Genomic DNA, 9,657 nt, shown 5'->3' on the forward strand with positions numbered 1-9,657 from the left:
AGGGCTCCTCAAATGCCACCAAAGTGGGAGCCCAGGCAGGGGAGGTGCCGAGAGCAAGAGAGGGCTCTGAGGACTGCTAGCATGCTGTCACCTCTCAAACCCACCTTCCCTTTCAGAGCAGAAGTGTGTGTGTGTGTGTGTGTGTGTGTGTGTTTGGGGGTCCATTCCACTCCGGGTGTGCAAATAGCCACTTTATTGTCTCCAAAAAACCTGCCCTTCCCTCTCCGTCTCTGGGCTCGCTGCAGTTCCCAGCTCAGCCGCTTGGCGACTCTCCATTCAGGAAGTGCCTTCTCAAAGGAAGCTGGTCCCAGCTGGCCTTGCGGCATGACTCAGCTTTTCTCTGTGATGTGTCGCGGAGTTGCCGATAGGGTTCGGTGTGGCGAGGAGGACCTGCTTCTCTCTTTGTGAGACAAGGGAGTGAGGGAGGAAGGAGGCCAAGGAGGAGGCCAGGACTGAGCAAGGACTAAAGTAAGACTGAAAGGGGAGGTGAGGGGTGGACTGGTTGGTGGCAGCAACCTGTACCGGAAGCGGCGGCGGCAGCCGAGGCGACGCACCGTGAGGCAGCTGCTTGACTAGGCCGCAGCCGCCATGGCGATGAACTTTGGGGACCATGCCAGCGGGTTCCGCCATGATGATGTGATCAGGTTCATCAACAATGAAGTCCTCAGGAACGGCGGCAGCCCAGCCTTTTACACGGCCTTCCGCTCGCGGCCGTGGAACGAGGTAGAGGACCGGCTTCGGGCCATTGTGGCCGACCCGCGGGTGCCCCGTGCCATTAAGAGGGCCTGTACCTGGAGCGCTTTGGCGCTGAGTGTGCAAGTGGCTGCGAGGCAGCAGGAGGAGCTGCTGTACCAGGTTTGGTGGCTGCAAGGGCATGTGGAGGAGTGCCAGGCGACCTCCTGGGCTCTAACTTCCCAGCTGCAGCAGCTGCGCCTGGAGCATGAGGAGGTGGCAACACAGCTGCACCTCACGCAGGCCGCCCTGCAGCAGGTGCTGAATGAGCGTGATGGGTTATGCGGGAGGCTGCTAGAAGTTGAGAGATCCATGCAGGTCTATCCGATGCCTCAGGATTTTGTACCCGGTCCAGAAGCCGGCCAGTATGGGCCTGTGGCCGGGACTTTAAATGCAGAACAGAGTGAGGCGGTGGCCACAGAGGCACAGGGAATGCCACATTCGGAAGCCCAGGTAGCAGCCCCAACAGCTGTGTATTACATGCCTGAACCCCAGAGTGGCAGGGTCCAGGGCATGCAACCTCTTCTGCTAATGCAGGCACCTCATCCAGTCCCATTCCATATGCCTTCACCAATGGGACTGCCATACTCAACACCTCTACCACCCCCAGTAGTAATGGAATCAGCAGCAGCAATTGCACCACAGATGCCTCCTGCAGGGATCTATCCACCTGGTCTTTGGGCCACAGTGGGATCCCAGGAGGAGACGGCCCCTCCGTGGGACCAGAAGTGCCATGGCCAGGATGGATATCCTGAGAATTTCCAGGGAGTATATCACCCAGGAGATAACAGAAGCTGCAACCAAAAGGAAGGTTCTGAGTGTCCCCAAGGAATGACTTCCCAAGGGGACAGCAGCAGCCACAGCCTGAAGAAAGATCCAGTGATGCAAGAGGGCACAGCTCCCCCAGAGTTTAGCAGGAGCCACAGCCTGGAGAAAAAACCAGTGATGCCCAAGGAGATGGTCCCCCTAGGGGACAGCAACAGCCACAGCCTGAAGAAAGATCCAGTTGTGCCCAAGGAGATTGTCCCCATAGGGGACAGCAACAGCCACAGCCTGACGAAAAATCCAGTTGTGCACAAGGAGATGGTCTCCCTGGGGGACAGCAACAGCCACAGCATGAAGAAAGATCCAGTGATGCCCCAGAAGATGGTCCCCCTGGGGGACAGCAACAGCCACAGTCTGAAGAAAGATCCAATGATGTGCCAGGAGATGGTCCCCCTGGGGGACAGCAACAGCCATAGCCTGAAGAAAGATCCAGTGGTGGCCCAGGGCACAGCTCCCCTGATGTATAGCAGGAGGCACAGCCAGAAGAAAGTGCCAATGATGCCCAAGGAGATGGTCCCCCTGGGGGAAAGCCACAGCCACAGCCTGAAGAAAGATCTAGTTGTGCCCAAGGAGCTGGTCCCCCTGGGGGACAGCAAGAGTCACAGGATGAAGAAAGATCCAGTGATGCCCCAGAAGATGGTCCCCCTGGGGGACAGCAGAAGCCACAGCCTGAAGAAAGATCCAGTGATGCCCCAGAACATGATCCCCCTGGAGGACAGCAACAGCCACAGCCTGAAGAAAGATCCAGTGATGCCCCAGAACATGATCCCCCTGGAGGACAGCAACAGCCACAGTCTGAAGAAAGATCCAATGATGCACCAGGAGATGGTCCCCCTGGGGGACAGCAACAGCCATAGCCTGAAGAAAGATCCAGTGGTGCCCCAGGACACAGCTCCCCTGATGTTTAGCAGGAGACACAGCCTGAAGAAAGTGCCAGTGATGCCCAAGGAGATGGTCCCCCTGGGGGACAGCCACAGCCTGAAGAAAGATCCAGTGATGCCCCAGAACATGGTCCCCCTGGAGGACAGCAACAGCCATAGCCTGAAGAAAGATCCAGTGGTGCCCCAGGGCACAGCTCCCCTGATGTTTAGCAGGAGACACAGCCTGAAGAAAGTGCCAGTGATGCCCAAGGAGATGGTCCCCCTGGGGGACAGCAACAGCCATAGCCTGAAGAAAGATCCAGTGGTGCCCCAGGGCACAGCTCCCCTGATGTTTAGCAGGAGACACAGCCTGAAGAAAGTGCCAGTGATGCCCAAGGAGATGGTCCCCCTGGGGGACAGCCACAGCCTGAAGAAAGATCCAGTGATGCCCCAGAACATGGTCCCCCTGGAGGACAGCAACAGCCATAGCCTGAAGAAAGATCCAGTGGTGCCCCAGGGCACAGCTCCCCTGACGTTTAGCAGGAGACACAGCCTGAAGAAAGTGCCAGTGGTGCCCCAGGGGACAGCCTCCCTGGGGTTCAGCAGAATCCACAGCCTGAAGAAAGAGTTAGTGATGCCCGAGGAGATGGTCCCCCTGGGGGACAGCAACAGCCACAGCATGAAGAAAGATCTAGTGATGCCCAAGGAGATGGTCCCCCTAGGGGACAGCAACAGTCACAGCCTGAAGAAAGATCCAGTGGTGCACCAGGAGGTGGTCTCCTTGGGGGACAGCAACAGCCACAGCCTGAAGAAACATCCAGTGATTCCCCAGGGCACAGCCTCACTGAGGTTTAGCAAGAGCCACAGCCAGAAGGAAGATCAGGAGAGGCCCCAGGTAACCCCTCTGGAGGATAGCAAGAGCCATGGTGTGAAAAATAGCCCATGGAAACACCAGCCTCAGGGGCAGAAGGTCAAGGAACAAAAAAGGAAAAAGGCCTCAGAATCCCAGCAACAGAAGCCTGCCTCATGCTCCAGCCCAGTGAATTGGGCCTGCCCATGGTGTAATGCCATGAATTTTCCACGGAACAAGGTGTGCTCTAAATGCAAGAGAGTCCGTATGCCAGTTGAGAATGGCAGCGTTGACCCAGCGTAAACTCATTGATTTCAGGAAGGTAAGTAAGATGGAAGCACTCCAAAGAGAAACCAATTTCCCAGGACCCCCTTCTGATAAAAAAGTAACTTATTTACTTAACAGAAAATTTGAAACCAAAATTGTAGAGAAAATTAGATAAAATAATCCATTATCCTATTACCCAAATTAAGTACTTTTTATCATTGTGAGTATACATACACACAAATACGTATGTATTTATTTTCTTATTTTATTCATTTATTTGAATAAAGAGAGACTACTTCTGAGTATAACACTCAGTCTTTAATTAGGGGATTTCTCCTAATTGCTGTCAACTTTTTCAGGTAGTAGATTGTGGTTGGCTGATACTAATTGGTTGACACCCTGGAGAAGCTGAAGTTATAGTTATAAAGCCTGTTTTAAATCAACCATTTTCTGTTTTTTTTTTTTCTCTTAACCTCCTTTTCCTGAAAATGCCATGTATTTGGCTGGGAGCAGCCATGTGATTTTAGAGTTCCAGGCTATATTGTATTCTAGAAACACTGCTTTTCCTTGCAAGTGCTATCATTCCTTTTGAAATTACTGCAGTGTTGATTTTTGCTTATTTTTGTTTTATTAGTTTTACAGGTGAAGTCCTGTTTTTGTGTCTTAGCTCCACCAAACTTGCTTGTTTCTGAAGAAGCTGAACCTGTGACATTAGAAGATCTGCCAAAGCCACAAGAAGTAACACCTCAATTCTGATGGACCCACACCTCACTGAGACCCCAACTGGCTGCAGTCAAGAAGAGTGAAAGGAAGTCAGGGAAGAAGAGATCATTTGACACTCATTAGGGGGAAAAGGGAGAACAAAATTGTTTTTGTAGAGTTGAATTTTTTCATTGGTATGGGAATTAACTTAGAAAAGTTTGGGGAGTTGTAGTGTTAAATTCTATAGATGGTAGCAACTTTGATGAATTTCACTTAATTCATTAAATGAGAAGTTTAGGGAAAGAGTTTAGGGGGTTGTAGTGTTAAATTCTATAGCTGATAGCAACTTTAATTAATTTCATTTAATTCATTAAAGAAATAGTTATTGCCTAGTATGTTTTGGGAGCTAGACTTGTATGTTATTATCTAGTACACACAGCATAATCTTTTATTGTGAATTCGGTTAGAAGATAGGAAAGAGCATAATTTGGCATACACATTAGATCAGGGATGTATTCTTTGCCTTGCATATAGCGTGACCTTGGATAAAACCAATTGAAGTAACATCCAGATCCATTTCTGTGGTTCTGGGGCCAATGCGAAAGAGACTTTCATGAAAGGTTTTTTGTTTTGTTTTTGTTTTTTTTAATTTTTTGGAGAAATGAGGTCTCATTTTGTCGCCCAGGCTGGAGTGCAGTGGCATGATCATCATAGCTCACTGCAGCCTCAAACTCCTGGGCTCAAGTGATCCTCTGCCTCAGCCTCCCGAGTGGCTGTGAGCCACCATGCCCAGCCCTTATGAAAGGTCTTGAGTAACCAAACTGCTTGTCTCATTGGTCTCAGGTGAGATAAATGAGCAGTGACAAAGTTTGGGAAAGTGTCCTCACAAAAATGCAGGCAGAGCTTTTCTGAATTCCTCTGCTGATTTCCTCCTTTGAGAAGGATAGCTATTTTCCTGGTTGCCCACCAGCCTGCCTGAAAGACCTGGGGTGTCTTGAAGAAAAACAGTGCTTTGGGGAGTGTTCACTACACACGCTAGCTTTCAGCCTCAGGCTGCCCCCATCCCAAGTCCCTTTTCAGTCAGCAGTGGATGAAGAACAAAATGGATTCCAAGGACAAACATTGGGGGCACCAGGTTATGGATGGTGTTTCTCTTGGGAGGATAAATTGGGTTAAAAATAGAGCTAGACTGGGGCAAGCACTTTTGGGAATACCCCAGGACCCCCACCTCTCCCTCTTTGGTGTGTTCTCTGCAGGCTTACCCAAGGCAACTGCTGCAAGGCAAGGAAGGAGCCAGGGTGGAGCCCAGGGGTGGTTGGTTAGATCTGCCTTCAATCCAAGCTAAAGATGTCCTTGAGTTTCCCAATGAGATCCCACCCAGCTCACCAAAATCAATGTTTGTCAGGGATTTTCTGGGCCTAACTAGTAATAAAGAATGTGCATTTGACTGCTGTGTCTTCTGTGTAGTGTGTATCTCAGGGCAGGTTTGCTCAGAGGTGGCAGCTTAAATCCGCATCTGCCCTTCATCCCACTGAAGTGAAGAAAAGTTCAATCTCATTCACTATTGGAGGGCCCCTCCTCTTCTAAGGAGTTACCCAAGAATGGGGGCAAGGTACTATGTGGACTTAGACAATGATTCCCCCCTACACTCATTGTCTAAGTCCACATAGTACCTTGAAGGTGGGCATTTCTGCTGCTGTGGGGCCAGTGGGAGATGGAAATGTCTGCTGATGGTGGAAGCCTTGATGCCTAGGGTCCAGCCTCCTTACATGCACCATGTACCCATTCTCCTTTGGGGCCCTGCTTTCTTTCTGGGGTCTTTGCATAGAGTAAGGGGTGCTTAGTTATCATGAGCAGAAATCTCCTTCTTTTCTTTCTGTTCTCTAAGTCACTCTTCTGTCAGCATAATTCTTTCAAGATGTTCAGGATTAAAGAAAACCAAATACAGGCTGGAAGCATAAACCTCCCCTAAGATAAGGCAGGGGAAAGATCTGGGCATCTTCTTGGAATGAGTATGGTGAGATAAAGGGTGAACAACAAAAATAATCTTACCATACCAGAAATTTTTCTCAGAGATGTGACAAACAGTAAGGGCTTTGTTTACCTGGGACAAGAGTACAAGAAAAGAAGGGGGCTGTTGGGGAACAAACACCTTAACTTTTGTTGGGGAGAGGGACAGATACTATAATATTTTGTATATCCTAATGGCTCCTGTATGTTTGGGAATATGGGTATGTGCAGGTATTTTTTTTTTCCTACTGGGTCTAAATCTAGAGCTGATATGATACAGGAGGAAGAGTAGAAATTGTAGTGGTGGAGGAAGAGGGGAAGGACTCCAGGTGCTGCCAGTAGTGATGGTAGGAGTGGGCCTGGTGCTGCTGCCTTGCAAGCACTTACGGAGGTGGTGGTGATGGATGAGGAACATGGGTATTGCTCTGAGCAAGTGAATGCAGGGGAAGTGGGAAGAGGCCTATTAGAGTCTTTGAGGGCCTCAGAACAAGAGAAGCAATATTTTCTCTTACTGCTCACCCATTCCTACACTTCTTCATACCCTGCTAGTGAGCCTAGGCAGGAGCAGCATTGCCTTCACACTCCCATTTCCATTTCTACCCTTTAATATAAAAGCAGAATCAAAAGAAGCAGCTTGAATAAGGGCATGTCCTGTGTGTGGGACATCAGTTGGCAGGATCGAATGTGGAAAATGCTTCTCCGCCCGCCTCAGACTCCCGAAGTGCCTGGATTATAGGCGTGAGCCACCATGGCCAGCCTAAAAAGCACTTTTTAAGGGACCTTGGAGTTTTTCCTCAAATGGCTCAACCCTGCAAGCCGGACTGGTCCCAGCACCCCTACCAGAGAGCTACAGTCAATGCTAGGGGTCCAAGTGCCCCCAGCAGACTCCCCCCAGCTTTCTCCTGGAAGAGGGTTGGGGCCAGCAGGGAATTCTGGGGTTGACACTCATGGTCCAGGAGCCTTCTGGTGCCCAGAGGGTAGAGTGGAAGGTCTGGGGGTGCTCAGCCCTGCTGTGTCCTGGACAGGCTGGTCCCCATGGAAGCTCAGAAGGAAAGTGTGCAAGAGCAGGTCAGGAAGGGACCTAGTGGTCCGCTCACTGCCTAACACCCAGCGGTGCTCTCAGCAGCACCCAGCAGCACTCTGCTTCACGTGGCACTGCTTGCAGAAGAGATGGTTGTCCAGGGGGTAGCAGCCTTGGTTCCTGGGCTCCACAGACAGGAGGATCCTGCAGTCCTCACACCTGTAGCAATTTACATGGAAGTTTCTTCCCATGCACTTGATTTTGAAGGCATCTTTCCCATCCCGAGGAATAATGGGATTCTCACAGATGCTGCATACGGGAGCAAATTTCTTGTAGAATTCGTCTAGGCAGTACATCTCGTTTTGGCTGCCCAGGGCAGAGCTCTCATCCTGGATGCACCGGGCACAGGTCACACACATGAAGCAGGAGGGGTGGAAGGCCTGGCCCAGGGCCCTGATGATGTGCTCCCGGACCACCTGGCCACACTTGCCGCACTTCTCCAGTGTGTCCTGGTAGCAGGGTTTGCAGAGGGGTCGCCCATCCTGGTAGAAGCTCTGCCCAGCTAGCTGGCGGTGGCAGGTGTGCCACGTGAAGCACTGGGCATGGTACTGCCTCTTTATGGCCTCCACAGCCAGCTCTTGCGGGGGACACGGTTTTGTGGCAGAAGGCACAGATGTCTGTGGACGACTCTCTCTCAACAGGCTCTGCTGGGGAAGGCGGAAGCTCTTCCTCCCCAGGCCCGAGGGGACTGGGCCCAGGCTGGACTGAAGGTCCCTCCACTGGGGCCTGTGGTCGGGGTGGGGGCGAGGGCAGGTGCAACCGCTCTAAGTCTGCAATGAGTGAGGCCCCCATTGGAGCAGGAGCCTCTTCTTCAGAAGACAGGAGCACCGGAGGGGGCAGTGGAGGGGGTGGGACGAGGTCCAGGTCAGGAAGTGCGTCCTCACCATCCAGGACAGGAGGAGGGGGTGAGCATCCTCCATTGGAGAGCTGCAGAGGTGCAGCTGGCACTGTGGCTGCAGCCCTGCCAGGGGGTGCCCAGGGGCTGGGCTTTCCCGCTAAGCCAGCTCCGGGTGCCTTCATGGGGGCAGGAGCCTCCCAGGGGAGGCCACATCAGGCCTCACAAACCGCCTGCCCCCTTCCTCAACCACAGCTAAATCGTGGCACAGGGGTGCAAGGGTGATAAAGACAGACGATGCCACACTCTTCTCAGGCTTTGAGGCCATGGCTTCAGCTCCTGGTGTGGCTGGGATCCAATTCTCCTGGAAGGTCCGAAGGCCCGGAAGTTCAGGCCAGCTCCACTTGTCAGCCCGCGCCCGGGGGCTGCCATCCGATGCCCTCATCCATAGGATTCGACCACCTTGACTTGGTTAACTGGAGGTTGCTTGCTTGAACCGTTGCCTCATGTGCTTCGATAAAGTAATGCATGAAACCACCAACTGGAATAAAACTTAAAAATTCACTAGAAAACAGTGTAGGCTCAGCATTTGACAGCCAGATAGAGTTTTCTCAGAGAAATTTCCATATTTTTATTACCATCTAGAAAAAAGTAATACTCATCGTATTAGTTTGCTAGGGCTGCCTTAACAAAGTACCACAGACTGGATGGCTTAAACAACAGAAATTTAGCCTCACAGGTTTGAAGGCTAGAAGCCCGAAACGAAGATATTGGCAGGGCTGGTTCTTTCTGAGGGCTATGGGGGGATACTCTGTTCTAGGCCTTTCTCCTGGGGGTGTGAATGTCTGTCTTGTCCCTGTGTCTCTTCACATTGTTTCCCCTCTGTGTGTGTCTGCCTTTGTCCAAAATTCTGCTGTTTATAAGAACAGCAGTCATATTGGATTAGGGGCCTCCCTAGTGAGCTCATTGTAACTAATTAAATAAGGTCACATTCAAAAGTACTGGAGTTTAGAACTTCAACATGAATTTTTCGGGGGGACACAATTCAATCCATAACACTAATAAATATAGTTTTTCTACTTAGACATCTGAATTTTAGAACAATTAAGACTATTAAAACTCTTGGAACTCTTGTGTAGTATAGTGGATAAACAGATTTTGGATCCTAGCACCGGCAATTGCTAGCTATGTGATATTAAGCAAGTTGCTTATTCTTTCTCTGACTCAATTTCCCCATCTATAAAATGGGAATAATTATACCTACAGAATACAGGTGTTAATTAATATATGAAAACATGCTTAGCACGTACTAGTTTCAGTTTATAAAACCATTTGTATGATTATTCTTCCTTACCCAGAAGTAACAGTGAAACCCAACTGATTGGCATTAAACAGGCAGTCTCTCTGAATAGCTATCAAAAAATACATATATATGGACATGTACAAATTTATAGTTTCTCACTAGTGAATGGCAAAGCTTGTTAATATCCATGAT

General features: G+C 50.3%; 1 protein-coding gene and 1 pseudogene across 1 annotated transcript; one reads left to right on the forward strand and one right to left on the reverse strand.

The window, feature by feature from the left end:
• Window positions 1-339: 339 nt before the first annotated feature.
• TEX13C (TEX13 family member C) lies at window positions 340-5,683 on the forward strand. The gene is made up of 2 exons (NM_001195272.2): window positions 340-3,589; window positions 4,169-5,683. Exon 1 carries the CDS (start codon window positions 589-591, stop codon window positions 3,568-3,570), a length of 2,982 nt encoding a protein of 993 aa, NP_001182201.1. The 5' UTR covers window positions 340-588; the 3' UTR covers window positions 3,571-3,589; window positions 4,169-5,683.
• FBLIM1P1 (FBLIM1 pseudogene 1) lies at window positions 7,599-8,528 on the reverse strand (annotated as a pseudogene).

This window comes from Homo sapiens, chromosome X, assembly GCF_000001405.40.
Source record: "Homo sapiens chromosome X, GRCh38.p14 Primary Assembly".
In the NCBI taxonomy this organism is placed as follows: Eukaryota; Metazoa; Chordata; class Mammalia; order Primates; family Hominidae; genus Homo; species Homo sapiens.